We start from the raw sequence: 27,314 nt of genomic DNA, 5'->3' as shown, positions 1-27,314 counted from the left end.
TGTGCCTACTTCTGTCTGTAAACAGCAAGGTCAGGATGTGCTGGCCCTCTGGTGAGAGGACAGACAGGACAGAGGGGTGGTGGGCTAGAGGGGGCCTTGCCATAATAAGGGCCCTCTCAAACATGTCTATATGTCTTTGCCTCTAGATTTGCAAAAGAAAAGATTCTAAAGCCCTGGGATCTTCATGCCATCACCAAGCATGATGCCCTCCTCCCCATTCAGAAGCAATACACCCCCTTCTCCTTCAGAGGGACAACCCAGAGAGAAATGGGTGGTGGGGATGGAGGATGGGGAGGCCTGGAGAAGCATTGATGGGGCCAGGGTTCCTAGCAGGGTCCCATTTCAGGCATCTTCAGAAAGTGCAAGAGCGTGAGCCTCCTGGTCCCCCTCCAGTGCTTTCTTCCGGAGGATAGTGGACTCAGTGGACACCCGCATCCATGCCCCAAAGCTTTTTGGCTTCAGTCCAAGCAGCTGACAGGTTCATCCTTCTCCCTAGGGCCCCACAAACACCACTTCCGGCCCTCCTGCCTCTATCTGGGCTCTTCCTGCCTGGATCTCTATACCCACGCCTGCCCTTCCCTCTGCAGAGCTTTCTCCCTCCCTTCAGGAGCCTTATTTCGCTCTCTCAGTCTCCATATCTATTTCTTTCCCCCTTCTTCCCTCCTCCCCTGCTTTTCTCCTCCTTGCCATCCCTCCCGAGCCCCAGTATGGGTCTCCCCTCCTTCCCCTCTCTCAGGCTGCATCTCCCCCCTCCTTAGTGCTCACCCCTGCACCTCTTTCTTTGTATTCTTCTCACCCTCTCCCAGCCTCGCCAGCATCTCTCCTCCCCCGCCCGGCTTCGGCCTCCCCCTGCCTCCCCATCTTCAGCTCAGTCTCCTCCCCCTCGCTCCTCTTCCCTCCCCTCCGCCTCGCCCCACTCCCAGCCCGCATGCCAGGATTTCTCTCCTCCCTGGGGGTCTCAGTGCATCTCCTTCTCCTCTCTGCCTGCCTCCTCCCTCACCGAAGGGTTAGCGGACACCCATCCTTTTCTGCTTGGGGACCCCACCACCACCCGCAACACTGCCGCTGTCTCTTCTTCACCGTATCCTTCTCTACCCACCCTCTTCTCTCTTCTCTTCTCCCTGCCCCTTTAAATCTGCCTGGCCCAGCCTCCCCCGTGATGCTGGGATGGAGCAAACATTGATTTGTGCTGGGATGGAATCGGAATTTTGATTTATTTTTCCTCTCCCAACCATAAGAAGAAAAAAATAATAAAAACACCCCCTCTTGAGAGCCCCCTCCCCCTTTGCATCCAGCTCCCAGCTCTTCTTCCCTATCTCCATCCAAGGCAGATTTTTTCCCCTACACTATTCTCATCTTCCCCCACCCTTGCCACTACCTCGCCCCCCCACCCAGCCTGCTCCTCCAGCTGGGGAGAGAGGGGACTCTCCGGACTCCCCCACCTTTCCTCTCTGGGTTGGAGCAGTCTCTCCGGAAGGGGAGGGGGCTTGGCTTGTCCGGGCGAGGTGGGAGTGGAGGTATCCTGCCATGGATGCTGTGCCGGGGAGGCAGCCTGAGCCCCAGCCCACATGGTGAGTAGCCTGCCCCCTCCCTTCTGCCTGTCTGCCCGTCCCCACCCTGGCCTTTCCCCTGCAGAGCCTCCCCTGGGCCCCATCCCCCGAAAAACCCCCCGAAAAACCCCCCGAAAAACCGTCTGCCTACCTTGGTCCGATCTCCCCGCTACATATTCTACCCCCCACCCCCATCCCTTTGCCAGAGACGCCGAAGAACCGGGGCAGAGGGGTCCTGACAGCAGCCAGGGAAACGGGTGCCCTACGATTCTGCCCAGCCCCCTCTCAGGACCCCCAAACTGCCATCCACACTCGACACTTCGGGGTTCTAGGTTGGAGAATTGGGACTCCCGCTTGGGGTTGGGGCCCCAAGTCCTGGGAGGGGCCCGCTCCACAAAGACAGAAATGGGGGAAGCCCCCATTCCCCCAAAGCTTGGGGGCTGCTGGAAGATGCTGCCAAAGGAGGGGGGTGGATTGGGGGGCGGCGCTGATGCCCCAGAGCCACCGGGCCAGGGAGCGGCGGGCAAAGAGGAGGGGCCTCTCTCGCCACTTGCCCCCCTCCCTCTTTCTCCGCAGCCACTCAGGATGAGGGTCCGGCCCTGCCTGCCCTCGCTGGGGCCCCCCCGCCCGGCCCCGGTCTAACTGCCCCCGCCCCGAGGCCTCGCCCGGCTCCAAGGCCCCCAGCAGGCTCTCCAGTCCCAGGATGCGCTGAGCCGCCGGGGGGCTGAGGCCGCGCCAACTACATGCATGTCCCCCGGGGGCAAGTTCGACTTTGACGACGGGGGCTGCTACGTGGGGGGCTGGGAGGCGGGGCGGGCACATGGCTACGGCGTGTGCACGGGCCCCGGCGCCCAGGGCGAGTACAGCGGCTGCTGGGCACACGGCTTCGAGTCACTGGGCGTCTTCACGGGGCCCGGCGGACACAGCTACCAGGGCCACTGGCAGCAGGGCAAGCGCGAAGGGCTGGGCGTGGAGCGCAAGAGCCGCTGGACGTACCGCGGCGAGTGGCTGGGCGGGCTGAAGGGGCGCAGCGGCGTGTGGGAAAGCGTGTCCGGCCTGCGCTACGCCGGGCTCTGGAAGGACGGTTTCCAGGACGGCTACGGCACTGAGACCTACTCCGACGGAGGTGCGGGGCCCGGCCCACCAGTGTCTGTCTGCTCGTCCGCGTGCGCCTTCCCCAGCCTTGGGCCTTCGCCCGCCATTTGCGCCCTTGCGCCCATCCTTCTTTCCCCCGCCACCATTCCCCATCGATGTGACCCCCAGCCCCCAATTTCTGCTCTCTCCCACCATGATTATGCTTTCCTCAATTGTCTGTCTCCTGCTCGCTTCTCCCTCACCCCTTCCCTGTCTGCCTGTCCTCACACCTCCCTCTCTACCTGCCTGTCCCCAACACCTCTGCTCTCCGTCGGGTCGGCGTGCCCCTCAGAGTACTGTTTGCCTATCTAAACGCCCTGACCAGCCTGTCCTTCGCATGCCTGCCGGGCCCTCCCCGTTTCCCCTGTTTACCCGCACTGCCAAAATCCACGTAGGGCTCCTGCTACCTGCCCGTCTTCACTCTGCTCTCCCACACTTTCCGGCCCAGCCTGGCCTGTTCCCGGCTCCCAGTGCCCTTCCCCGACCTCCACACTAACTGCCTCCATCTCTCCCGCCTGACGCTTGGGCTTCCAGGGGCGCTTGGGACTTGGGGCGCAAGGAGCCCAGCGGCACGTCCTGACTCTTTCTCCCACCCCTCCGCCGCCCGCAGGCACCTACCAGGGCCAGTGGCAGGCCGGGAAGCGCCACGGCTACGGGGTACGCCAGAGTGTGCCCTACCATCAGGCGGCGCTGCTGCGCTCGCCCCGCCGCACCTCCCTGGATTCCGGCCACAGCGACCCCCCGACGCCACCCCCGCCCCTGCCCTTGCCGGGCGACGAGGGAGGCAGCCCCGCCTCGGGCTCCCGGGGCGGCTTCGTGCTGGCCGGGCCCGGGGACGCCGACGGCGCGTCGTCCCGAAAGCGCACTCCGGCGGCCGGCGGATTCTTTCGCCGTTCGCTGCTGCTCAGCGGGCTCCGAGCGGGCGGACGTCGCAGCTCCCTGGGCAGCAAGCGAGGCTCCCTGCGCAGCGAGGTGAGCAGCGAGGTGGGCAGCACCGGACCGCCCGGCTCGGAGGCCAGCGGGCCCCCGGCCGCAGCGCCGCCCGCCCTCATCGAGGGCTCGGCCACAGAGGTGTACGCGGGCGAGTGGCGCGCAGATCGGCGCAGCGGCTTCGGCGTCAGCCAGCGCTCCAACGGGCTGCGCTACGAGGGCGAGTGGCTGGGCAACCGGCGGCACGGCTACGGGCGCACCACCCGCCCCGACGGCTCCCGCGAGGAGGGCAAGTACAAGCGCAACCGGCTGGTGCACGGCGGGCGCGTCCGCAGTCTCCTGCCTCTGGCCCTTCGGCGGGGCAAGGTTAAGGAGAAGGTGGACAGGGCTGTCGAGGGCGCCCGTCGAGCCGTGAGTGCTGCCCGTCAGCGCCAGGAGATCGCCGCTGCCAGGTGGGCGTCCAGTTCAGAGGCCAAAGCTGGGCTAAGAGGAGGGGGTGCGCTGGGGACCAGGAAGGCGGGTGTGCCTAAGGGAGGCCCAAGGCCCAAGGCCTAGGGCCTGCTATTGCAAGCCTAAGGCCAGGCAGTTGGACCCCTGGGCATTCTTGGTGTTTATATCCGAGGCTACAGGTGGATGTGGGTGTAACTCTGGATAGCTGGGTATTTGAGGGAGATGGTGTAAGACTGTAAATGTGTCTCGGTGTCTTTTGTGTGGAGATGCATGTCTATGGAATCCATTGTTGTGTGTGGGAGTAGCAAGGAAGCTGTTTTGTGCAGGCCCAGAAATCTCTTGGAACTCAAAACATGTCCCTAGTCTTCCTCCTCTTGCAGCTGATCCAGCCTCCAGGCCTCAGGCTGGGAGCATCAACCCTGGGTGGAATAGGGACTGTCCCTTCCTAATCACGTCCCAGCCTGACACCATTTCAGCCTTGGGCCTTTGGGAAGTCTAATTTATACAGCTGACCTATCCACCTGAAAAGATAGTCTCTCCCAGTTTTGCCCCCTCTGCCTTCTTTTACCCAACTGATGGGAGGTTTGAGGGGAGGAGGCTTCCCTGTAAATGAAACGTTTCTGTAAATCAAATTACATTTCCTTGCATCAGGAACCTTGCTATCTAAAGCAGTGCTGTCTAACAGGAATATTATATAAGCCAAATAGGTAGTTTTAAATCTCCTAGTAACCACATTAAAAAACAAAAAGAAGCCAGACATTGTGGCACACACCTGTAGACCCTTGAGAGGTAAGGGGATCACTTGAGCCCATCAAGACCAGCCTGGGCAACATAGCAAGATCCTGTCTCTGAAAAACAAAAAACCAAACAAACAACGGAATAGAAAATTAAAAAAAGCAGGTGTGATGAATTTTAATAATATTTTTATTTAAACCAATATATCCAAATATTATCATTTCAACTGGTAACCAGTATAAAATTATTAAGATATTTTACAAATTCCTTTTGAACTAAGTCTTTGAAACCTGCAGCTCCCTGGGCAGCAAGCGAGGCTCCCTGCGCAGCGAGGTGAGCAGCAAGGTGGGCAGCACGGGACCGCCCCTTAAATTTTACACTTAAATCACATCATTTCCATTCAGACTAGACACGTTTCAAATGCTTAATAGCCACATATGGTTTGTAACTACTGAATTAAATAGCACAGATCTGAAAGAAGGCCGGGCACGGTGGCTCATGCCTGTAATCCCAGCACTTTGGGAGGCCGAGGTGGGTGGATCACCTGAGGTCAGGAGTTCAAGACCAGCCTGGCCAACATGGGAAACCCTGTCTACTAAAAATACAAAAATTAGCTCGGTGTGGTGGCAGGTTCCTGTAATCCCAGCTACTCGGGAGGCTGAGGCAGGAGAATCACTTGAACCCGGGAGACAGAGGTTGCAGTGAGCCGAGACCACGCCACTGCACTCTAGCCTGGGCGAGAAAAGTGAACGCCAGTCTAAAAAAAAAAAAAAAATCTAAAAGAAGCCAAAAATCCACTTGTAATGAGATTCATAGACCCCTTATTTATACAACTCACATATTTGAATTTTTACATATTGAATTTTCTTTTAAAGGGGTGGAGGATTTCATTTAAATTTGAGACTTTTTGAGAGATCAGAGATCAGGATATGTCCAAATATGCTTAAATGAGTTTGTATAATGGGTGACACAGTGAGAGTGCGTGTGTGTGTGTGTGTGTGTGTGTGTGTGTGTTACAGAGAGAGAGAAAGAATATAAACATGCCAAATGCAGAGTAGACGTTTGAGTCAGAGAATGTGCATCTATAGATGTGTCTGGGAGTCTGGATGTTAGAGCCCAGGGACTTAAGCCAGGGAAGGGGGAAGGCAGAGCACCAGGGAACATTTTAGGCTAGATAGGGTGGAGACATGTGCAGGAAAAACTGATCTCAGTAACTAGAGGATCAGGCAGTGGGAGGAGGTTGGTTGGTCTCCCCAGCAACAGGCCTGGCAATCCCGACTGGCTGCCAGCTGCCATGGAAACAGCAGAGCCTCAGCAGCAGGTGCCTCTGCCAGGTAGCCTGAGCCTGGCCTGAGTCTGATGCCTGAGCACAGACTAAGTCTACTGTGTGGGACTTGATCATCCATACTCTTCATACACAAAAACAGGCCTCATCAGTGCACCAGTTTCAGGCCACCAAAATAACTCAATACAACCCAAGACCATGATCCTCACGCTCACGGCTCAACAGGTGCCCTTGACAGCCCTGTCCACCTTCTCCTTGACTTTGCCCCACTGAAGGGCCAGAGGCAGGAGACTGCACATGTGCCCGCTGTGCACCCTGAGTCCAGCTCAGTTTCAGGACAGGGCTAGTTATATACAATCTGAGAGTCCTAAGACAGAAGAGCCACGTTATCTGAGATCCCTCCAAATAGGCTCTAAAGATCTTTGACCCACCAGGTTTGAGGAGAAGGGGCTAATCACGGCTCCCAAAGAACATAAAGAAGAGGCTATGGACTAAGAATATGCACAGTAGATATCACCATCCTCTTCCCCACCCCCATACCAGACTGCCTTCCTGAGCCAGAGAGAACAGGCCTGTGGCCAGAGGAAGTCATGGGGTGTGATCAATTCAAGCCCATGGCAGCTCGTCGGCCTGCCTTTTCCTCAGCTCTTTTGTGCCCCACCCTCAGAATTACAGAACTCATTTAAGGATGACAAGGCATCTACGATTAACAGCAGAGGGTGAAAGGGAAGAGAAAACTGAGGAAGCATCTGACATCACAGGGAGAACTGAGAAGCAACAGTGGGGAAGGACTGATCAGACTCCCAGGCTGCCTGCACCTAAGGAGCAGGGAAGGTGGTAGGGGGTTGTGGAAGGGAGACTAAGGGTTTAGCCAGAAGTGTAGTTGCAATGGTGAGAAAGCATATTGCATGTTAGTAGGGAGAGGGGATGGGATCATTACCGAAAGGGGAGACCCACTCTCATTCCAGTTCCAGAGCTCAGGAAAGCATGACGGGGGGCAGTGGGGTGGTAGCAGTGACAAGAGGAAGAACAGTGTCATAACAGAAGAGGCTGAAGGAACGCAAGATAGGAAGTTCTCATGCCAGGAAATCTGTACGGGTAGAGGTAGGATTAATAGTAAGGAGAAGTGACAGTAGAAAGAGAAAGGGAGGCAGAGACTGTTAACATAAGGGAGACGGTGGCTCTGAACGAGGGGGCGGGGCAGGGGCGAAGCTGCTTGGAGGGGAGGATCAAGGTACAGGACCCTGTGCTAGACCCCACAGAGAGGCCTGTGACTCCAGGGGGGTGAGAGGGGTTAGTAACAACAGGAGGTGCTAACTGCAAAGAAGGTGGTAGTATAGCTCATAAGCACCAAGCAGGACTGCAGGGGATGTGCTAAAAGAGTGAGGTCTCGACTGTCACTGGGAAGGGGGCAGGATAGGAATGGAATTACACAGTTCCAGGAGGGCCTGGCCCTTGCAACTGGAAGAAGTGTTACTACAGGACGTAGCAGTAGAAGGGTGTGAGAGGAGCAGGAGGGTGTGATGGTGGCAAACACAGCCCAGGTCAGGGGGAGGAAACCAAACGGGAGCTGCCCTGGCCTGCCAGGAAGGGAAGCAGCTGGCAGAGTGTGGCGAAGGGTGACGACTCCAGAGGAGAGGAGGATGTGATGTAGAGGGGACAGGGGCTAGGGGGCTGGAGCATCTGAGCAGGGACTAACTTGAAGTGGGGGAAGTTCTGCTAAATCCCTGTCTCTGGACCCGACAGGGCAGCAGACGCCCTCCTAAAGGCAGTGGCAGCCAGCAGTGTCGCTGAGAAGGCCGTGGAGGCAGCTCGAATGGCCAAACTGATAGCCCAGGACCTGCAGCCCATGCTAGAGGCCCCAGGTGAGGCATGGACAGCTGGGGGGAGGGCAGTGAGGCCCCTAGGGAGCTAGAGAGGCTCAGGTGTGGGGAAACAGATGAGAAGCCCTGCAAGGGAAGTGGGGATGGGAAAAAACAAGGAATGAGGGTGCAAGGAACACAGGGTGGGGGCCAGACCTGGTAGTCTGGGGAGTGGGACTTGGGAATGTATGCAGTAGGATAATGGGGGGTTTGGGGTCTGGCGGTGAGAGGCTATGAGCCTGGGAATTCCAAAGTCCTGGGAAGTGCCCAGTCAGGAATAAAGCTGCAGCCACTCCAGCCCAAGGCCAGTTAGGCCCCTCTGATTCTCAGCTATCCCTACCCAGGCCGCAGACCCAGGCAGGACTCAGAAGGTTCCGACACGGAGCCCCTGGATGAGGACAGCCCTGGGGTATATGAGAACGGACTGACCCCCTCAGAGGGATCCCCTGAACTGCCCAGCAGTCCTGCCTCCTCCCGCCAACCCTGGCGACCCCCTGCCTGCCGGAGCCCACTGCCTCCTGGAGGGGACCAGGGTCCCTTCTCCAGCCCCAAAGCTTGGCCTGAGGAGTGGGGGGGGGCAGGCGCACAGGCAGAGGAACTAGCTGGCTATGAGGCTGAGGATGAGGCTGGGATGCAAGGGCCAGGGCCCAGAGACGGTTCCCCACTCCTCGGAGGCTGCAGCGACAGTTCAGGAAGTCTTCGAGAGGAGGAGGGGGAGGATGAAGAGCCCCTGCCCCCGCTGAGGGCCCCAGCAGGCACGGAGCCTGAGCCCATCGCCATGCTGGTCCTGAGGGGCTCGTCCTCGAGGGGTCCTGATGCTGGGTGCCTGACAGAAGAGCTCGGGGAGCCCGCTGCAACCGAGAGGCCTGCCCAGCCGGTGAGATCCTCTGTCCCTGCTGTGTGCCCTCTTCTCCCAAAGCCTTGCCTCCCACCCTTTCCAGAACTGTCTGATCACCGGGGGGGCTTTTTATCTCACTCGGCTTCCTCTGCCTGGCCAGTCTTGGACCACATCCCACCTCAAAAAAATAGAGGGCGTTCGAGCTGGAAGGAACCTTACACACCTGCAAGCCCAACTCCCTCATTTGACAGATGGGGGAACTGAGGCCCAGAGCACTTAAAGTAACTTGCCCAGGCCGGGCGCGGTGGCTCACGCCTGTAATCCCAACACTTTGGGAGGCCGAAGTGGGCGGATCACGAGGTCAGGAGATCGAGACCATCCTGGCTAATACAGTGAAACCCCGTCTCTACTAAAAATACAAAAAAAATTTAGCCGGGCGTGGTGGCGGGCGCCTGTAGTCCCAGCTACTTGGGAGGCTGAGGCAGGAGAATGGCGTGAACCCGGGAGGCGGAGCCTGCAGTGAGCTGAGATCGCGCCACTGCACTCTAGCCTGGGTGACAGAGCGAGACTCTGTCTCAAAAAAAAAAAAAAAAAAAAAAGTAACTTGCCCAGGGTTGTAAACTAATAATTAATGGGAGAGCCAGAACATTTTTCCCCCGTTCTCCTTCCATATCATTTCCAGCTCTCAGTTTCCTACTCCACCCCCACCCCCACCTCCGCACTTTCTCTCTTTGGTGCCCAGAAATAAAAAAGGAAAAGATTGTTCCCTCCCTACCCTGACTCTCCCTCCCTCTCCCGGGAAGAAGTTGAAATAGAGAAGAAGGCAGAAAACCGGGAGAGGCGGAGTTTGCCCAGAACCCTCTACTCTGATTGGGCTCTAGGCCTTCTGTTTCCTAGCAACCACATCCTCACCCCTTCATCCCTCTGCCTTACTGCAGTACTGGCTGCTGCTGCCAATGTCTGCTACTAAGGCCAGGCACCTCCTGCCTGGGACACATGATATGCTGATGGGAGGGGACTAGAGGGAGGAGGTGGAAGGGCTGTCCCTGCATTGAAGGTGTCAGAGGAAAGGTGGGGCCCTGCCTGGGAGAAGAGGGGGTTTTGCAATCCAAAACAAATGTTGGCGATCCCCCTGCTCCAGGCTGTGCAGGGAGGTGCCTGAGACCCTTCAGCTCTGCCACCTCAGTCAGGGCAGGAAGGTGGGCCCTGTCCTCGGGGACTGAGTCTGCTTCCCCCTCTGTCTCTCTAGGGAGCTGCCAACCCCCTGGTGGTGGGAGCCGTGGCCCTCCTGGACCTCAGCCTGGCATTCCTGTTCTCCCAGCTCCTCACCTGAGGCTACTTCCTGGCCTGGTTCTGGCTTTGGTTGCGTGCCTCTTCACCCCTTTGACCTGCCTTTTTTCTCTTCTCCTCTTCCTGGCTGTGTTTTCTCCTATCTTTCTTTCTCTTCTTCCTTTCTTTTCTGTGCTCCTTTGTTTTTTTCTCTCGCTTTTTCTTTCCCTGTCTTCTTTCAGATTATCTCATTTCTTCTGGATCTGTCTCTGTATTCCTCACTCCCTTCCCCATCCCAACCCCTTCTTTCTCTAGATTGTTTACATATGAAGGGCTTTTCTCTCTCAGAGTTGCTGTCTTCTCTGAGACACACAAATCTAAGTCAGACCATTGCTCCACGCCCTCCCACCTTTTCTTTAGACCTCAACTTCGCTGCGGGTGGGGGTTTGGTGTCCTAAGGAGACTCCTGGAAGCTGAATGGAGAGGAGGAAGAAAATGAAGAAGGAGTGATTGAATGTCGGGCAAGGCACTGGCTGAGCTGCTGTGGCTCCCTAGCCTAAGGGGCCTGCTGTCCCTCTGAGGCCTAGTGAAAAAGCTGCAGGAGGTGCATCCTCCACCTCTAATCTTGGAGGCTATTATCTTACCTCCAAGCACTGAGCTGGGTTACTGCCCAATTCCATCCTTCCCTGAAGGAGAGAAGGGAAGTGAAAAGTAGAGTAACTCCCCAGCATTTCCCTCTTTTTCTCCTCATCGGCCAGCCCCTCCTCCAGCCCCCTCTGGTGGCATGCCATGCCAAGAGCAACGTGTAAAGGAACAGAGAATATCCAATGCAGTCAAGTCCACCCTGCCCAGACTTTGCCACTGACTTCTCCCACCCTTCTGTCTCCCCCATAATAGTTTATTTGGTTGGTCTGGACTCACTTGTGGCCTTTGATTAAATTCCTAAGGGGCCTGAAGAAGACATTTCTACTGCAGAGGGTTAGAGGCACTTGAGCAAGGCCCCCACATCCCAACTCTGGGAGTTGTGGTGGGAGGAGGCACTTCTGGGGGATAGGACCAGACAAGATAACAGGAGCTCACATGGAAGCAGAAGCTGTGACAAGTTTAGTAGTCCCAAAATGGGTTATATCCCTTCCCCCTTTACATCAGAATCTTGTGAAATGGGAAAACAACAGAAGGAGGGGATCAAAGATAGCTGATCTCACATGCTTCCCAGGCAGGGCAGAGGTGGGAGTCAAACCCGGGTGACAGGTGGGTGGAGAGCCCTGTTTGAGGTTGTGGCTGATCCCTCTCTGGTATTAGTTTTTCCCCTGGGAGCAGGAAGCCCTAGGAAGAGGGGACTGCAGGGTCCCCAGGGGATCTTTCCTCCCTCCCCTGCATGAGGCAGAGGCAAGCTGCCTGCCAACCCCCTCCCTCAAGGAATGGCCTTGCCCAGGAATGCCCACCACACATACCCTCTTCTTTTTTTCTAGTCAAACTCTTGTTTATTCCTTGGCTTGCCTCCCTCCTTCCTCCCCTCTCAACCTTTACTTCTGATTTCTATTTCATGGAATTTGGGATTGAAGTTAAACTACAACAGTGCCGCCAACACCAAGTCTTGCAGGAAAAAAATACAAAGAAATTTAACAAAAAAAATATATTAATAAAAAAGTTCAAAAAAGGGGGGGGATTGTCATCTCCTTTGGGGTGCGATGGCTTCAAATCCAAACTGAGGCTCTCCGGGTGGTAAGGATGTGCGAGGAGGCCTCTTGAAGAACTCCAGGCCTATCATGCTGTCTCTCCGCTAAAGCCTGAGGCCCGAGGTCAGAGGATTCAGGAAGGCTCTGCAGTCGGCCCAGGAGGGCGGGGTCCCGTGGTGGAGGCGGGGAGAGGGAAGGACCGCACGGAGCACCAACCCCTGCTCGGCCCCGTACCAGGAAGCGCTGGGGGGCAGAGGAGCGGAGTTGAGGCAGAAGCCAGGTGAGGCTGGAGTCCTGGGGTAGGCAGGCTGTCGCTGCCGCTGCCGCTGCCTGAGATGGAAATCGGGGGAGGAAGCTCGCGGAAGAAACAGCGGAGGGTCGTGGAAAAAAAAGCAATGGCTGAGCTAGGGATGGGGTACCAGGTAGGGGGAGGAAACGGTAGAGAGAAATAGGTGGGGCTCCCGCGCATGCTCAATAGGAAGGGGCGCCGGTGGGGTGCGGACGCATGCGTAGTGGGCTTCTCGGGCGGTGGGGTGGGCGCGGAATTTGGAGACCCACTTCGGGAAAGGTAAAATGCGGGCGCAATTTTAGGGTACCTGTGGGACCCGGGCTCTTAGGGTCTTGACACAGGACGGGCCTGGGCCGAAAGCCCAGGCACGCCCGACCAGAGAGTGTTTCTCCACTCCCGGACTCTGCCAGTCAGGATGGTGGTGCCTTCGCTGAAGCTTCAGGACCTCATCGAAGAGATTCGCGGGGCCAAGACTCAGGCCCAGGAGCGGGAGGTGATCCAAAAGGAGTGTGCCCACATCCGGGCCTCCTTCCGCGACGGGGACCCAGTGCACAGGCACCGGCAGCTGGCCAAACTGCTCTACGTCCACATGTTGGGCTACCCCGCCCACTTTGGACAGGTACTGGCCAGGAATACCTCCCTCCTGAGCTTGATGAAGGCTAGTGGGGCAGAGTCCCAGACTCTCTCACCTGTTTATGCCCTGGTTTTTTAAATTCTACAATTTCAGAGTCTTCACAGCCTGCACTGCAAACCTCTTTCCCCATTGCTACCCCTACTGGTCATCAGCTGGCCTGAACCCTTCATTCTCTGGCCAGCCTCCTTTAGGGCAGGCATCTCCTCCTCTCCGCTCCCATCCTCCTCAACTCCTAGTTCCTCCTACCCACTAACGCCTGAATTTCCTAAGCTTCTCCTCTTGTTGAAGGGAGAGTGATGAGATATGATGCCCCACAGGTTAATCTGGTTTTAAAGAGGAAGATGGAACAGGGATGTGAGTGTCTATGGTTTCACCCCTGCCTCTTCCTGGTCTGCCCCCTTCACTATAGATGGAGTGCCTGAAACTGATCGCCTCCTCCAGATTCACAGACAAGAGGGTGGGCTACCTGGGGGCCATGCTTCTATTGGATGAGAGGCACGATGCCCACCTGCTCATTACCAACAGCATCAAGAAGTGAGAGGGTTCTGGCAATCACTTGGAATCAGGGAGATGGGAGAGTAGGGACCTTGGAAATCCCAGGGGACTGCCTGTTGTGGGTATTGAAAAGGACTGATTTTCTCAGAGGTTTGACTGACCGTCCTCCCAAACCCTGCAGTGACCTGAGCCAGGGGATTCAGCCAGTACAAGGCCTGGCCTTGTGCACTTTGAGCACCATGGGCTCTGCTGAGATGTGCCGAGACCTGGCCCCAGAGGTGGAGAAACTGCTCCTGCAGCCCAGTCCCTACGTGCGCAAGAAGGTGAGATGGCGGGACTCCTGGCACGTGCTCCTGCACACTGCCTGCTGCGTGCTATATAGTAGTAGATGCAGGGGTCCATCTCCTCTGACCCCTGTCTGAGGCCCCTGACCTCTGCAGGCTATTCTGACTGCAGTGCACATGATCCGGAAGGTCCCTGAACTCTCCAGTGTCTTCCTCCCACCCTGTGCCCAACTGCTTCATGAGCGTCACCATGGTAAGGCTGTGGGGCCCCCCATCCTTTGCTTCAGGTCTATGGACAGAAGAATTGAAAATCGGATGGGAACCCCAGCTCACAGGAGAAGGGTAGTGCACACACACAGGCACACACGCAATAGACTCTCTTGCCCCTGGCCCCCACCATTCACTTCCCCGACGCTGACCCCAGGCATCCTGCTGGGCACCATCACGCTGATCACGGAGCTCTGCGAACGAAGCCCTGCAGCCCTCAGGCACTTCCGAAAGGTGGGCTGGTGAAGGGGCAGGCCCTGGGCCTGGAAGACAGGGTCAGTGGGGAAGGAATGGGGCTTTAGCTGGAGAGGATTAGAACGAATGCCCAAAGTTGTGCCCTCCCTCCAGGTGGTACCCCAGCTGGTACACATCCTCCGGACTCTGGTGACAATGGGATACTCCACAGAACACAGCATATCTGGAGTCAGCGACCCCTTCCTGCAGGTGGGGTGACCTTTCACTGCTGTATCCCTGGATCAGAGAGGGCATAGCAGTAAGACCATGACCAGTGGTTTCCTCCCAGAGAACACTGGTTCTCTCAGTGTCCTGGGCAGCAGAGTAGCAGGCACAGGATTGCTCGGGTCATCCCAGGACCTGTGAGGGGAGAGGGAATGCCTAAAAGTCAGGAAAATACAGTTTGTTAACAATTTTTTTTTTAAGCCTGTCCTAAACTCCCCTGGCCTCACACACCTCTGTTCCCCTCCTAGGACCAAGGGACCTGTGGAGGTGAGGAGGTGGGGGAAGGCTCTAGGGAGCGAGCCAGACCCTCACATGTTGGAGTTTTCTCCTCAGCCCCACGACTCCTTATCCTATGAACCCCTCCAACTTTCCATTTTCAACCCAACCTCAGGTCCAGATACTTCGTCTGCTTCGGATCCTGGGCCGGAACCACGAGGAGAGCAGTGAGACCATGAATGACTTGCTGGCCCAGGTGGGGCCTGGGAGGGCACTGGTTAGCTGTGTTGCTTGGAGACCCCATCAGCCCTGGGTGCCCCTCACATGACTCGTCACTGTGCAGTGGCCGTGTAATTGCCTCTCCATCTCCTCTAGACAGTGAACTCCATGAAGAAGGGACACAGTCTGTCTTAGTGCTATTGCCCCAGTGCCCAGGCTGGCCCTGGCACATAGTAGAGCCTCAGGGAACTTTGTTGGATGGTTGAAGGATGGACAGATAACATGTTGGAGTCCTTCAAGAATCCTGAGGATTACCTGGGCTTGTTGGCATGTGCCTGTAGTCCCAGCCACTCAGGAGGCTGAGGCAGGAGGATCATCAGAGCCTGGGAGGTCAAGGCTGCAGTGAGCTTTGGGCGACAGAGTGAGACCCTGTATCAAAAAAAGGAGACCTGAGGAGGGCCTTGAGCAGATACATCTCCTCTCTCATCCACTCAGGTGGCCACTAACACGGACACCAGCCGAAATGCCGGAAATGCGGTCCTGTTTGAGACAGTACTCACCATCATGGATATCCGCTCTGCAGCTGGCCTACGGGTATCACCCCTTATGCCTCTCCCACTACGGCCCCGCCCACCACCTCACCCACACAGGTCCTGCTTGCTGGTTTCTCCCTCCTAGCCCCATCATCTTGCGCCAATGTGTTCCCAGTCCTCAATGGCTGAGCAGGTTGCTCCTTTCCGACTGACCCCAACTTCTGCCTCTCATAGGTTCTAGCTGTCAACATTCTTGGTCGCTTCCTACTCAACAGTGACAGGAACATTAGGTAATAGTCCCAACTGTCTACCTAGGCTGTGCCACTGATCCCCTGGCCCTCTGCCCTCCTTCCTCCAGAGCCTCCTGATCCATTTCTCTCTTATCTTATCCCTATACCCAGGACAGGACGGGGAGTGGGGGCTGATGGCCATGGTATGATAGAACCTCCCCCATCCTGACCAGGTATGTAGCCCTGACATCACTGCTTCGACTGGTGCAGTCTGATCACAGTGCTGTGCAGCGGCATCGGCCCACTGTGGTGGAATGTCTACGGGAAACTGATGCCTCCCTCAGCCGGTGAGCAGTGATAGAGGGGACAGGAGGGCAGGGCAGAGGTTCCCAGTGCCCTGTGGCCAAGACTCGAGCCAGTTTAGAGCAGCTGGAGTAAGGGGACTAAGGGGGACAGGTCCCTGGGGAAGCAGAGGGCCTGAGGCATGGACCAGGATGACCTGGGCTACCTGCATGGAAACCTCTTTCTCCTGCCAGGAGAGCCCTGGAACTAAGCCTGGCTCTGGTAAATAGCTCCAATGTGCGAGCCATGATGCAAGAGCTGCAGGCCTTTCTGGAGTCCTGCCCTCCTGACCTACGGGCTGACTGTGCCTCAGGCATCCTGCTGGCTGCAGAGAGGTGAGGTGCCCAGGAGTCGAAGAGGGTAGAATCTGGGGAGCGTCAGTACCAGGACTGATGAGCCATATATCCCCTAGGTTTGCTCCAACCAAACGCTGGCACATAGACACCATCCTGCATGTGCTGACAACGGTGAGGCAGGGGCCAGTCAGAGAGCTGGGCAGAAGTGGTCAAGATTCACCACACTGACTTGGCCATGCCCACACCTTCCAGGCGGGCACCCATGTGCGGGATGATGCAGTGGCCAACCTGACCCAGCTGATTGGGGGGGCCCAGGAGCTACATGCCTACTCTGTGCGCCGCCTCTACAATGCCCTGGCAGAAGACATTTCCCAGGTACCATTCCCACCTACCTAGGCCCAGGGCTGCCCAACCACTCCCTTGCCCATCCTGGGCCACCTCCTCCCTACTAGATTCCAATTTTTCTCTCAAGGTCACAGCTGCTTACACAGTGCAGAAGACATCTGAGCACAGAGCCCTGTTTTTAAGAACATCTGGGCTTTTGTCCTGACTCTGGTACCTCCTGGTTATGTAACTACAGATGACTAACTTCCCTTATGCTCCATGTACCCTGACTGCCTCTTAGAGCTGCCTTGAGATTAAAGCTCTTGTGTTTATGAGGTTTTATTATTACCTTGAATGCTGAATGAATTAACAGATGCCAGCCAGTATCTATAGCCCCCTTTTCCATCTTAATTAAATAGGGTGGGCAGAAAGCATCATCCACCCCTTCCACAAGGGAGGGACCCTCTCACATTTCCATCCTGTTTGGTTAGGCCATGTAGTTCTGATGCTTGGCCACCAGAGGGCAGTGGGAGCCAGGTAACAAACTTCCCTTTCCCCACTCCTCCAACCCCCCACCATCTCTGCACTGCCTAAAGGGATATTGCCAGGTCTGGAAGTGAGGAGGGGACCTCAGACACTGGCCCAGCAGTGTTTCTTTCTTTCTCTCTCTCTCTTTTTTTTTTTAAAATAGAGATGGGGGGGGTCTCGCTTTGTTGCCCAGGCTGGTCTTGAACTCCTGGTCTCAAGCAATCCTCCCGCCTCAGCCTCCCAATGCGCTGGGATTACAGGCTTGAGCCACCATGCCTGGCCAGCCCAGCAGTTTCTTATCCCATGTAGCAACCACTGGTGCAGGTGGCAGCCTGGTGCATTGGGGAGTATGGGGACCTCCTGCTGGCAGGGAACTGCGAGGAGATTGAGCCCCTTCAGGTGAGACCTCATTGGGGGTACACTGAGGAGGGACTTGTCAGGGGGACAGGACTTGCACCAGGGCCACTAACTGTATCCATGTCTGAAGGTGGACGAAGAGGAAGTGCTGGCATTGCTGGAAAAGGTGCTGCAGTCCCACATGTCCCTGCCAGCCACTCGAGGATATGCCCTCACAGCCCTCATGAAGCTCAGCACTCGCCTCTGTGGGGACAACAAGTAAGAAGGGGTCCCAGCCCCTTGAGAGATGGCCTGTCACTGGGTCCACCCATTTTTGAGTTTCTTTCCAGGCATACATGCCCAGCCCTCCCTACCCCCTAGCCCTTAGGTTCTTGTTTTTGAGCCAAATCTGGGTATTTCCCTGCTCCGTGGGCCTTTCCTTCTTGCCACATCCTGCAGTGGCACACTGCCATAGCCACTTACATACTACACTGGCCCAGCCGCATCCGCCAGGTGGTGTCCATCTACGGGAGCTGCTTGGACGTGGAGCTGCAGCAGCGGGCTGTGGAGTATGACACACTCTTCCGGAAATACGACCACATGAGGTGTGTCCAGCACTGTGCTGCAGCATGGGACCCAAACCCCTGCCCTCTCCCAAATGCCCTTTTCTAGGTACAAGGGCCTCATCCTCACCTGTGTTCTTCCATATCCACGGTGAGAGCTTCCCACCCACTGTTAATTGAAGCTAAGCTGGCTTCCAACCCTCCTTGTTCATCTGAAAATCAGCAACAACATGTCATTTTAGGAAATCAGAAGGGTACTTCTGAGCCACCATGTGCCCAGGGCTCCATATTCCTAGTCCTCATCCTAGATGCCTCTTGTGAAAGGCCCAGAGACCACACAGAGGCACACTTGCATTCCATCCTCTCAGGGCTGCCATCCTGGAAAAAATGCCTCTTGTGGAGCGAGATGGCCCTCAGGCTGATGAGGAAGCAAAGGAAAGCAAAGAAGCAGCCCAGCTTTCAGAAGCAGCCCCAGTGCCCACAGAGCCCCAGGTGAGAAGGCTAGAAACTCTGGGGTAGGAAGACGGGCTGAGCTTCATACCCAGCCCTGCCCCTTCTGTCCCTTCTGCCAGGCCTCACAGCTCCTGGATCTGCTAGATCTCCTGGATGGGGCTTCTGGGGATGTCCAGCATCCTCCCCATCTGGACCCCTCCCCAGGAGGTGCCCTGGTACACCTGCTTGACCTTCCCTGTGTACCTCCACCCCCAGGTAAGCCTAAGCAAAGGGAAGATGTCTTAGAGAAGGTAGGTGGAAATGTACTGCTCCTCCTCCTAAGCCAAGGGCTGAGGCTCATGGACCCTGCTTCTTCCTGTGTGTCCCCCATCCCATCGCCATCTCAGGAGGTAAAAGAATGAAGTCAATCATGGTCATCTGTCTTCCCTTTGTTCCAGACTTCTTTCCCTGGCCTACAGGGCCCTGCTTCCTCCCCAACCCTTCTTATACCACTTTCCCACTACCCACTCACTGCCCCCTTCTCAGCTCCTCACACCCTCCCACCCTTGGCATTTCATGTTCTTTTTTACATGGAATGTTCTTTCCCCAGCACATCAAATGACCAGCTCATTCTCACTCTTCAGGCTTCAGCTAAAATGTCAGATGCCTTCCCCTACCACTCCTATTTAAGTCAGTTCTCCCCAGTTATTCTGGCATGACTTACTTCCTTCATAGCATCTATTATGGTCTGTAATTATCTTGCCTTTTTTTTTTTTTTTTTTTTTTTTTTTTTGAGACAGCGTCTTGCTCTGTCACCCAGGCTGGAGTGCAGTGGCGTGATCTCGGCTCACTGCAACCTCTGCCTCCCGGGTTCAAGCTGTTCTTGTGTCTCAGCCTCCCAAGTCCGGGCCTCAGGTGATCCACCCACCTCAGCCTCCCAAAGTGCTGGGATTACTGGCTCACGCCCGGCCTTTTTTTATTGTTTCTCTCCCCCATTAGACAGTAAGCTCCATCCTCATCTACATGTCTACTTTGTTACTAGCCTTTCGAGTAGTGCAGGGCCAGTAGGTGTTTACTCAATTTTTGTTGAATGAATGAACAAACATGTTCTCTCAAACCTGCACACTGAGCTGCTTCTGTCTCCCTACTCCAGCTCCCATCCCAGATCTCAAAGTGTTTGAGCGTGAGGGAGTACAGCTGAATCTGTCTTTCATTCGACCCCCTGAAAACCCTGCTTTGCTGTTAATCACCATCACTGCCACCAACTTCTCAGAGGGTGATGTCACCCATTTCATCTGCCAGGCTGCTGTGCCCAAGGTTTGTAAAGATCAGAGTTCAGAGGTGGCCTGGGGACTCCAGGAGAAAAGGCCACTAAGTGGAGGAGGTGGGTGGGAGACAGTGTGAGATGGGATTGAGTCATCTGGAGATCAGCACTTGGGGAGTTACAGGAAAAGGGTGTGGAGCCACTGAGTATAGAGGGGCTGCCTGAGCCCTACCTACTGCCATACTGTGCTCTGTTAAACTCCTGTGTTCAGAGTCTCCAGCTGCAGCTGCAGGCCCCCAGTGGGAACACAGTTCCAGCTCGGGGTGGCCTTCCTATCACCCAGCTCTTCAGAATCCTCAATCCTAACAAGGTGAGCTTCAGGAGTTCCCCCAAGACAAGACCCAGGGATAGAAGAAGCCGTGGGTGCTAACCCTGGTCCCTGCTCTCCTATTCCTAGGCCCCCCTGCGGCTAAAGCTGCGCCTCACCTACGACCACTTTCACCAGTCGGTGCAGGAGATCTTTGAGGTGAACAACTTGCCTGTGGAATCGTGGCAGTAACTGTCTCCACTCACAGCCTGAAATTCTCCTGTGTCCCAAACCCCAGGGGGCCCCAGCAGCTTCGAACCTACACCTGAGGGCTACCAGCAGGTGGCGCTCTGGCTTTGCACTGCAAAAACTGGGGACCAGCCCCCTTCTCCCACAAATAAAGCCCAATAAAGCCTGAGAAGTGAGGAAAGCCATATTTGGGTATATTTGAAGTGGAAAGTGTGTATGAATAACAGCAAGGGAAGAGCATTCTTACATAGGAGGTATGCATCTTCCCCTGAGCCTTGAGAACCTGTCTCAACACGGGGGCGGGGAGGGGGCAGCTGTTGGTTCTTTCTAACCCTCTCCAGGTCAGGGAACAAATTTGCCCCTAAACTTCCACAGGAGGCACTCTACCCTCTGGGCCAGAGCTGGGCACAGTGGCAAAGTCAGATTAGAATTTCTAGAGTTCTAACAGCGATTCCCAACCATTTCCTCAACTTTTCTTCTGTTTCCCACATCCCAAGGCAGGGAAATCCCTGCTGCCTCTCCTCATCTTCTAACTCAGCTGTAAGGCGGTTTAGGAGCCGCTGGCAGAATCAATGGCATCGACCAAGGGAGGGGGGGTGGCAAGGGATTTTCCTGTGCTTAACTACTGATCACGGCTAAGTGGAAATCCTATAAACACGAGCGGAAATCAATGGAGGCTGCTTAGCGGCCAGGGGAGAGGGGCGGCCCACAGATTGCATCTGACGGATGAGCGAGAGGAAGCAGCCAGGGAGGGCTCAAGGAAGAGTAGCTTAGAGGAGGGGGAAGAAACAGGCAGCGCTGGAGAGAGAGGAGTCACTGTCAGAAGGGACACTGAGGGGAGAGGCACAGTGGGCCCAGGAGTGGACTCCGTTAGACCCAGAGTTCCCTTCCCCTTCTAGGAAGTGACACCCCTAGCCCAGGCAGTGGTCAGGATCTTCAGTCTCCTGTGGCCTCTCTCTGGAGCTGTTCACTTCTAGCAGGCGCTGATAGTCTTGAGGCCGGAAACGCTGTAGATACACAATCAGCTTGGCTGGTGCTGTCTCCTGTGCAGGCACACCTACAGGTAAAAGGACAATGAGGAGAGAAATGGACAGAGCCACAAGCACTTGGACTCTGCTCCCTGCCCACCTAGCCAGGACTCCGTGGATGTTTCCAAAGCCACACTGGGGTTCTGAATGTCACCCACCCAGCTTCTGTAACACACTAGTCCACTCCCTGCCTGCCTGTGGAAGTGGGACCTAAAAGAGCAACTTCAGGCAAGAGTGGGACTAGAAGCCACACCTCAGCCTCTCTCCTCCAGCAAGGAGAAATGGCGAAGAGGCACCCAGGCACCAAGATAAACGAAGGATGCCTCAGCGTCAGCTCATTTCAGTTATTACCCTGTTCCGCAATCAAGATTAAAGCCCTAGACCAGGCCAAAGCTCATTAGCTTAGTAATGAAGCACATGCAGAGATGTACACATAGAAACCAAGAGCTATAGAAAGAAGAGGAGGGAAGCTATAGCCATGGGGTGGGATTCACATAGAATTCTCGCCTCTACATGGTGAGGTGAGAATGGAACTGCCTGTTGCCAGTGTCTTGTTGTTAGTGCCTGGCAGCATGCTGGGCACATAGCAAGGAACTCAGTGTATGTTTGCTGAGGGGGCTCAAACAGCACTGCAGGGCTGTAAGGCCCCATGGGATGCACAATTCCTAGTGTGGATGAACTGTCTACAAGGGAATTATGCTTAGGAACAAATCTGCCAAATCATGCCCCACTGTCTCACATAACTATAATGTTATTGTCCTTTACAAAAAGCCAAAAGGACAAATTAAAAGGATCTAGGTAATTGTAAAACAAAAGGACAAGACTGGTTGGACTCTCAGTGTAGTGGGCAGTGCATCAGTCTCATGATCTGAAGATCCTGGGTCTGAGCCTCCCAGAGGGCAGCTTTTGTAAAAAGGCTTACTTTTTACTCCTTGTGGAGGAGTGGTGACTGAAGAAGAAGAAAAAAAAGAGATTGGGGGAAGGAAGAGTCAAAGCAGGGAACTGAGAAATGAAACTGAAGGAGATCTGGCTATAGGTATGAGAACTAAATGAGGCAGGTTGGCTGGAATTAGACACGTGGAAGGACTAGATCCAAATTAGCTACTGTTAAAGAGAAAACGAGATTTCACAGAACTGTAAGCAAACTTAGAAAATTGCTAAAACAATTCCCATTACAAAAATAATCCAGGCCAGGCACAGAGGCTCACACCTGTAATCCCAGCACTTTGGAAGGCCGAGGCAGGCAAATTGCTTGAGTCCAGGAGTTCCAGACCAGCCTGGGCAACACGGCAAAACCTTGTCTCTATTAAAAAAAAAATTTTTAATCCGGAGGCCCTCCCCCACTGCATGGTCCAGCAGGTGCCTCCAAAAGAGAAAAGTGGGGAGCAGGAAAAGCACAAAAGGGCCTGTCTCCCTCACCAAGCATGCTGCTGAGCCTGTGGATCTTCTCTAGGGCAGTTGGTACTTCAGCCTCCTCATGCACCAGGGCCTCTACCTCACCCACAGCGTAGCCAAAGTCGGCTGTATCCAAGTCCACCCTGAGCTGTGGCTCCTCTTCATCAGCTCCCAAGAGCACCAGCTTCCAGGCACTCCGCTTAGTCACAAAACTAGCTACTTCCTGCAGCCCCAGTGGGCCCAGCACAGCAGCCACATCTCCAGCCCCCAGGCCGTCAGCCCGCAGCACCTTACAGAGTTGGGCCACAATTGTAGGTTCCGCTGTGAGTTCCTTATACTCCGTGTGGGGTCCTAAGACACCTGCTGCTCCAGGACATTTGAGCTCCCATCCACTATCCTCTCGTCGTCGCAGCCAGTGGTCAGCCTGCATGAGGCTCAGCTCAGGGGTGTCATAGTAGGTGTCTCGGAAGGTGACCCGGTACTCCAGGGTGCCCCCCAACTCCTGCAGCCGCTCCTCTGTGCCAGGCCCTGGAAGGAACTTTCGCTCCACCTCAATCAAGCCCTGGGCCATGCTACCTGCAATTGGCTGAACAAACGTTTGCTGAGTTCCCAAGGATGCAAAGCCTGGTGCTCAGCTCCTGGGGCGTCAACTCAGTACAGAACCCCTCCCTGGAAAAACTTATGAGGGGCACACTGTGTCGCAATAGTCTCTAGGGCTACTGCCCTTTTCTCTCTACCTCGGTGACATTAAGGCCCCGTCGGTGATATTTTAAGGCTCTGACAGTGACAGGTCTCCAGTAAAATCCCTTCCACTGCTGCTGATGTCCTCAATCCAAAGAGACCCCTAGAAAGCAGGCCGGGTAGCGGGTGTCCTTTCAACGCCCCCCTCTCTACACCTTGCCACCCCAGGAGGCTACTGGCTCACGACCCGGGAGGACCTGCCCTTTCCTGCTACACTACCGGCCAGCGGAACTTCAGGTCTCACCTCAAAGCCCGAGAGTCTCCTCGCGGGACCCACAGAGGGGGAAGGGAGCCCACGCCATACACTCGCGAGGAATGCCGGGAGCAGTTCCGGATCCCGGACCTCGGCCCGACCCTCCGCGCGCCCGGCAGGTCCCGGCACCAGCGGCCATATTACGCCCGTTGTGGCGGTGCCGAGAGCAGGCCAGGGCTCGAGACACGCGCTATGTAATGGGAGGCCGCGACCCCCGCGGTGGCCAGGGGAGCGAGGCCGCCCCTTGCATTCTGCTCCTCATTGTTGGCCCCGCACGGCTCCCGGGGGCTGGTACAGGTCTCATGCCTGAGGCTGAGCCAGGCACCCCGAGGCGCGGATGCATGATGGGAGATGTAGTTCCAAAGGGAGACTTTGCCATCTCGCCCCGCCCGTCGCTATGGCGACAGGAAAGCTGCACTTGGTGCCTGCGGTACTCTACCTAAAGCTGAACTGGGGCTACAAGGCGGCGGGGAGAGTCGGGTGCAAGGAGCTCAAGCCCCAGTCCCGTCTCCAACACCCCCCGCCGCACCCCCAACGCAGGCAGATGGGCCTGGAATACAAGCCATTCACACCGTCCAACAGATATCTGCTATAGCAGCCAGCTAAGCGCAGGCCAGTGGCAATGGTGGCGAGGGGGGTTGGGGTGGGGGGAGGGAAGGGGGCGGGGGCAGCGCGTAATAAAGTCCAGTTTAGCTACTCTGGAGTTTTAGAGGGGATCTAATACCTCCTGGCATGAACGTTGAGGGTAAGAGTGGGTGAGAAACTTTCTGTCAGAGAATAAAGTGGTATTTTGGCCAGGAACTAAAGATATGATGGTATTTCAACAGTTGGAGACCTAGATGGAGACAGGAATAGCCTAAGCAAAGGCCCAGAAACTGGAGAGCACCTGGGTGGTACGTAAGGAGAAGACGAGGCTAGAAATGCAGTTGAGGGAAAAGCCTTGAGTGCTAGACTGAGGAGTTTGTCAGAGTTTCCAGCGGTCCCTAAGCAGTTTTTGTCAGGTGTAGAACTACTTATGTTCATTTAGAATACAGAAAGGCCGGTGCGGTTGCTCACACCTGCAATCCCAGCACTTTGGGAAGCCGAGGCAGGTGAATCACCTGAGGTCAGGAGTTCGAGACCAGCCTGGCCAACATGGAGAAACCCCCCCGGCCCGCCGTCTCTACTAAAAATGCAAAAATGAGCCGGGCATGGTGGCGCGTGCTTGTGTTCCCAGCTACTCCAGAGGCTGAGGCATGAGAATTGCTTGAACCTGGGAGGCAGAGGTTGCAGTGAGCTGAGATGGCGCCACTGCACTCCAGCCTGGGCGACAGAACGAGACTCCATCTGTCCCCAAAAAAATAAAATTCAGGAAAACATGGGGGTTGGCCCTTTGAATGCTTTGGGAGACAAAATATTAATAGAGATGATTCCTTCTTACTCCCTCTGAGGACTATGGTTATCTGGAGACTCTAACTATATGTCTGACCTTCCATGTGAGGAAGCTCCCTGAGGAACCGTGGCTCTTAACTCCTGGACTCCTTCCTATGATGGGTGAGAAGTGCCATGTTCTCAACACCTGCCCTCTCACCAGTATGTTTCTGGAAATACATGACCAGTGAGAGGTATTATAGGGAGAAGGACACTGGTTTAAAGACATGGCATTTTGGCCAGGTGTGTTGACTCACACTTGTAATCCTAGCACTTTGGGAGGTCGAGGCAGGAGGATCATTTGAGGCCAGGAGTTTGAGACCAGCCTGGGCAACATAGGAAGACCCTGTTTCTACAAAAAAAAAAAAAAAAAAATTTTAATTAGCCGGGTGTGGTAGTGCATGCCTGTGGTCCCAGCTGCTCAGGAGGTTGAGGCAGCGGGATAGCTTGAGCCCAGGAGGTCAAGGGCAGTGAGCTACGATCCTGCTACTGCCTGCACTCCAGCCTCGGCAACAGAGCAAGACCCTGTGCATAAATAAATAAACAAATGGCATCTTGAACTTGGAGTAGCTTGGGTCAACCTCTGTCCCCACTCCATGTTAAGCACTGTTGGTTAGGGAGAGAAGAAACCCCAGCTCCTAAAGCCTGCTTTTCATCCATCTTTTGCTTTCCGGTTTTGTTAACCTGGGATGAAGACCTAATTTTTCCTTATGTTATAAGATCCAATCCAGTGGGGCAAAAGCAGCAGCTTATTTGAACAGAAAGACCAGTTTCCGGAGCCAGACCTGAGGTCGACTCCCAGCTTCACTTTCTAGATGTTTGGCCTTCCGCAAGCTACTCCACTTTCCTAAGCATCTGCTTTTTTTTTTTTTTTTTTTTTTTTTTTGAGACAGAGTCTCACTCTGGCGTCTCAGCTCACTGCAACCTCTGCCTCCTGGGTTCAAATGATTCTCCCGCCTCAGCCTCCTGAGTAGTTGGGACTACAGGCACGTGCCACCCCACCCTCCTAATTTTTGTTTGTTTGTTTGTTTGAGACGGAGTCTCGCTTTGTCGCCCAGGCTGGAGTGTAGTGGCGCCATCTCGGCTCACTGCAAGCTCCGCCTCCAGGGTTCATGCCATTCTCCTGCCTCAGCCTCCCAAGTAGATGGGACTACAGGTGCCCACCACCATGCCCGGCTAATTTTTTGTAATTTTAGTAGAGATGGGGTTTTACCCTGTTAGTCAGGATGGTCTCGATCTCCTGATCTTGTGATCCACCCGCCTCCACCTCCCAAAGTGCTGGGATTACAGGTGTGAGCCACCACGCCCGGCCTGTTTTTGGTTTTGAGACGGAGTTTCACTCTTGTTGCCCAGGCTGGAGTGCAATGGTGTGATCTTGGCTCACCGCAACCTCTGCCCCCCGGGTTCAAGCGATTCTTCTGCCTCAGCCTCCCGAGTAGCTGGGATTACAGGTGCCCACCACCACGCCCAGCTAATTTTGTATTTTTAGTAGAGACAGGGTTTCACCATGTTGGTCAGGCTGGTCTCGAACTCCTGACCTCAGGTGATCTACCCACCTCAGCCTCCCAAAGTGCTGGGATTACAGGAGTGAGCCACCATGCCCGGCCAGCCTCTGCTTTTTCATTGAGAAAATGTGGCCTGCCTCACAGTTACCTGTGAGGATTCAGTCATAAACTGTCACATAGTATAAACTCAAAATGTTCATTTATCTCTCCTTTTTGTCATGTGAACTTCAGGGTTTTGTTGTGTTGTTTAAGAGAAGTAGGCTATAGCAGTTAGTATGGGCCCTGGAGCCAGACCATGGAGGTTTTTGAGTCCTGGCACTGTCACTTACTTATTGGCCATTGGACCTTGGGCCTGTTAATTCACTTGTTTGTGCCTTAGTTTCCTCAATAAATGAGACTATAATAGCATCTACCTCATGCTTGAGGTATTGAGAGGAGTAAACAATGTATGTAAAAGTGCTTGGAACTGTCCCTGTGCATTCAAGAAATCTTAAAAATTATTATTAGAATACAGGAGCGGCCGGGTGAGGTGGATCACCCCTATAATCCCAGGACTTTGGGAGGCTGAGGCCGGTGGATCACCTGAGGTCAGGAGTTCGAGACCAGCCTGGCTAAGATGGTGAAACCCCCGTCTCTACTAAAAATACAAAATTAGCAGGGCATGGTGGTGGGCACCTACAATCCCAGCTACTTGGGAGGCTGAGGCAGGAGAATCACTTGAACCTGGGAGGTGAAGGTTGCAGTGAGCCGGGATCATGCCACTGCACTGCAGCCTGGGCGACAGAGTGACTCTGTCTCAAGAAAAAAACAAACAAACAAAAAAACGGGCTGGGCGCGGTGGTGGTTCACACCTGTAATCCCAGCACTTTGGGAGGCCGAGGCAGGCGGATCACAAGGTCAGGAGTTCGAGACCAGCTTGACCAACGTGGTGAAACCCCGTCTCTACTAAAAATACAAAAATTAGCTGGGTGTGTTGATGCATG

General features: G+C 55.1%; 4 protein-coding genes and 1 long non-coding RNA gene across 55 annotated transcripts in view, besides 12 other annotated features; 3 read left to right on the top strand and 2 right to left on the bottom strand.

Annotated features, from left to right (window-relative positions):
* Positions 1–960: 960 nt before the first annotated feature.
* On the top strand, positions 961–11,713 carry JPH4 (junctophilin 4). 2 transcript variants are annotated; one of them, NM_032452.3, is made up of 7 exons: positions 961–1,571; positions 1,757–1,882; positions 2,127–2,676; positions 3,295–4,066; positions 7,831–7,949; positions 8,291–8,823; positions 10,034–11,713. In NM_032452.3, exons 3-7 carry the CDS (start codon positions 2,298–2,300, stop codon positions 10,115–10,117), a joined length of 1,887 nt encoding a protein of 628 aa, NP_115828.2. In that variant the 5' UTR covers positions 961–1,571; positions 1,757–1,882; positions 2,127–2,297; the 3' UTR covers positions 10,118–11,713. The 2 variants fall into 2 exon arrangements, with proteins under 2 accessions (NP_115828.2, NP_001139500.1); NM_001146028.2 differs by lacking the exon at positions 1,757–1,882.
* Positions 2,190–2,950: an enhancer, noted in NCBI's record as "H3K4me1 hESC enhancer chr14:24046010-24046770 (GRCh37/hg19 assembly coordinates)". NCBI's record gives its function as "activates a minimal SCP1, AML or CMV promoter by ChIP-STARR-seq in primed H9 embryonic stem cells {active_cell/tissue: H9 hESC(primed)}" and the evidence as "EXISTENCE:reporter gene assay evidence [ECO:0000049][PMID:30033119]".
* Positions 2,326–2,445: a silencer, noted in NCBI's record as "silent region_5613". NCBI's record gives its function as "represses an Ori minimal core promoter by ATAC-STARR-seq in GM12878 lymphoblastoid cells {active_cell/tissue: GM12878}" and the evidence as "EXISTENCE:reporter gene assay evidence [ECO:0000049][PMID:35858748]".
* Positions 2,536–2,695: an enhancer, noted in NCBI's record as "active region_8177". NCBI's record gives its function as "activates an Ori minimal core promoter by ATAC-STARR-seq in GM12878 lymphoblastoid cells {active_cell/tissue: GM12878}" and the evidence as "EXISTENCE:reporter gene assay evidence [ECO:0000049][PMID:35858748]".
* Positions 10,769–10,868: a silencer, noted in NCBI's record as "silent region_5612". NCBI's record gives its function as "represses an Ori minimal core promoter by ATAC-STARR-seq in GM12878 lymphoblastoid cells {active_cell/tissue: GM12878}" and the evidence as "EXISTENCE:reporter gene assay evidence [ECO:0000049][PMID:35858748]".
* On the bottom strand, positions 11,675–18,654 carry AP1G2-AS1 (AP1G2 antisense RNA 1). The gene is made up of 4 exons (NR_110555.1): positions 17,878–18,654; positions 14,911–15,024; positions 12,329–14,295; positions 11,675–12,062 (listed from the first exon to the last, which is right to left on the bottom strand). It is a non-coding gene; the product is annotated as an AP1G2 antisense RNA 1 (long non-coding RNA).
* Positions 11,858–11,907: a silencer, noted in NCBI's record as "silent region_5611". NCBI's record gives its function as "represses an Ori minimal core promoter by ATAC-STARR-seq in GM12878 lymphoblastoid cells {active_cell/tissue: GM12878}" and the evidence as "EXISTENCE:reporter gene assay evidence [ECO:0000049][PMID:35858748]".
* Positions 11,960–20,184, top strand: AP1G2 (adaptor related protein complex 1 subunit gamma 2). Of its 40 annotated transcripts, none has more exons than XM_005268173.4 (22): positions 11,960–12,012; positions 12,436–12,640; positions 13,065–13,189; positions 13,332–13,473; positions 13,591–13,687; positions 13,859–13,935; positions 14,050–14,145; positions 14,552–14,632; positions 15,091–15,189; positions 15,363–15,418; positions 15,592–15,705; positions 15,895–16,035; positions 16,113–16,167; positions 16,249–16,371; positions 17,158–17,247; positions 17,336–17,463; positions 17,685–17,789; positions 18,116–18,239; positions 18,320–18,455; positions 19,333–19,496; positions 19,715–19,813; positions 19,901–20,184. In XM_005268173.4, the coding sequence occupies exons 2-22, from the start codon at positions 12,437–12,439 to the stop codon at positions 20,000–20,002; spliced, it is 2,358 nt and encodes a 785-aa protein (XP_005268230.1). In that variant the 5' UTR covers positions 11,960–12,012; position 12,436; the 3' UTR covers positions 20,003–20,184. The 40 variants fall into 40 exon arrangements, 38 of the variants coding, with proteins under 38 accessions (XP_005268230.1, NP_003908.1, XP_047287811.1 ...); NM_003917.5 differs by having other exon boundaries at positions 12,432–12,640; XM_047431855.1 differs by having other exon boundaries at positions 11,960–12,154; positions 12,432–12,640.
* Positions 12,388–12,627: an enhancer, noted in NCBI's record as "active region_8176". NCBI's record gives its function as "activates an Ori minimal core promoter by ATAC-STARR-seq in GM12878 lymphoblastoid cells {active_cell/tissue: GM12878}" and the evidence as "EXISTENCE:reporter gene assay evidence [ECO:0000049][PMID:35858748]".
* Positions 12,658–12,747: an enhancer, noted in NCBI's record as "active region_8175". NCBI's record gives its function as "activates an Ori minimal core promoter by ATAC-STARR-seq in GM12878 lymphoblastoid cells {active_cell/tissue: GM12878}" and the evidence as "EXISTENCE:reporter gene assay evidence [ECO:0000049][PMID:35858748]".
* Positions 16,673–17,173: an enhancer, noted in NCBI's record as "H3K4me1 hESC enhancer chr14:24031787-24032287 (GRCh37/hg19 assembly coordinates)". NCBI's record gives its function as "activates a minimal SCP1, AML or CMV promoter by ChIP-STARR-seq in naive H9 embryonic stem cells {active_cell/tissue: H9 hESC(naive)}" and the evidence as "EXISTENCE:reporter gene assay evidence [ECO:0000049][PMID:30033119]".
* Positions 17,174–17,674: an enhancer, noted in NCBI's record as "H3K4me1 hESC enhancer chr14:24031286-24031786 (GRCh37/hg19 assembly coordinates)". NCBI's record gives its function as "activates a minimal SCP1, AML or CMV promoter by ChIP-STARR-seq in naive H9 embryonic stem cells {active_cell/tissue: H9 hESC(naive)}" and the evidence as "EXISTENCE:reporter gene assay evidence [ECO:0000049][PMID:30033119]".
* Positions 19,480–27,314, bottom strand: part of THTPA (thiamine triphosphatase) — a 48,512-nt gene continuing 40,677 nt past the window's right edge. For 2 of the 9 annotated variants that reach the window (NR_046051.1, NR_046052.1), the window contains one exon: positions 20,170–21,056. Coding sequence is in view for 6 of the 9 variants with exons in the window: in NM_024328.6 (NP_077304.1) it covers positions 20,911–21,056; positions 22,447–22,993 (693 nt within the window). In the remaining 3 variants the exon portion in view is untranslated. Of the gene's footprint in view, positions 21,057–22,446; positions 23,770–27,314 lie in introns of those variants that run through there. The other 7 variants (NM_001126339.3, NM_001256321.2, NM_001256323.2 and 4 more) reach the window with 7 other exon arrangements.
* Positions 22,438–22,487: an enhancer, noted in NCBI's record as "active region_8174". NCBI's record gives its function as "activates an Ori minimal core promoter by ATAC-STARR-seq in GM12878 lymphoblastoid cells {active_cell/tissue: GM12878}" and the evidence as "EXISTENCE:reporter gene assay evidence [ECO:0000049][PMID:35858748]".
* Positions 23,166–24,100: an enhancer, noted in NCBI's record as "H3K27ac-H3K4me1 hESC enhancer chr14:24024860-24025794 (GRCh37/hg19 assembly coordinates)". NCBI's record gives its function as "activates a minimal SCP1, AML or CMV promoter by ChIP-STARR-seq in naive H9 embryonic stem cells {active_cell/tissue: H9 hESC(naive)}" and the evidence as "EXISTENCE:reporter gene assay evidence [ECO:0000049][PMID:30033119]".
* Positions 23,348–23,607: an enhancer, noted in NCBI's record as "active region_8173". NCBI's record gives its function as "activates an Ori minimal core promoter by ATAC-STARR-seq in GM12878 lymphoblastoid cells {active_cell/tissue: GM12878}" and the evidence as "EXISTENCE:reporter gene assay evidence [ECO:0000049][PMID:35858748]".
* ZFHX2 (zinc finger homeobox 2) overlaps positions 23,799–27,314 on the top strand; it is a 35,096-nt gene continuing 31,580 nt past the window's right edge. For all 3 annotated transcript variants that reach the window (XM_047431824.1, XM_011537245.4, XM_047431818.1), the window contains exon 1: positions 23,799–24,028. The gene's annotated coding sequence lies outside the window, so the exon portion shown is untranslated. The remainder of the gene's footprint in view (positions 24,029–27,314) is intronic.

Source organism: Homo sapiens, chromosome 14, assembly GCF_000001405.40.
Source record: "Homo sapiens chromosome 14, GRCh38.p14 Primary Assembly".
Lineage (NCBI taxonomy): Eukaryota > Metazoa > Chordata > Mammalia > Primates > Hominidae > Homo > Homo sapiens.
Note: the sequence above shows the minus strand (reverse complement) of the source record. Positions and strands in the feature narration are given on the sequence as shown.

Excerpts from the sequence above, each read along its gene's own strand:
- JPH4 (NM_001146028.2), top strand. The coding sequence starts at position 2,298 with ATGTCCCCCGGGGGCAAGTTCGACTTTGACGACGGGGGCTGCTACGTG. Across the intron at positions 2,677-3,294 it reads TGAGACCTACTCCGACGGAG|GCACCTACCAGGGCCAGTGG; the intron begins GTGCGGGGCCCG and ends CGCCGCCCGCAG. Across the intron at positions 4,067-7,830 it reads CAGGAGATCGCCGCTGCCAG|GGCAGCAGACGCCCTCCTAA; the intron begins GTGGGCGTCCAG and ends TGGACCCGACAG.
- AP1G2 (XM_047431849.1), top strand. The coding sequence starts at position 12,200 with ATGCTCAATAGGAAGGGGCGCCGGTGGGGTGCGGACGCATGCGTAGTG. Across the intron at positions 12,641-13,064 it reads ACCCCGCCCACTTTGGACAG|ATGGAGTGCCTGAAACTGAT; the intron begins GTACTGGCCAGG and ends CCTTCACTATAG. Across the intron at positions 14,633-15,090 it reads TGAATGACTTGCTGGCCCAG|GTGGCCACTAACACGGACAC; the intron begins GTGGGGCCTGGG and ends TCATCCACTCAG.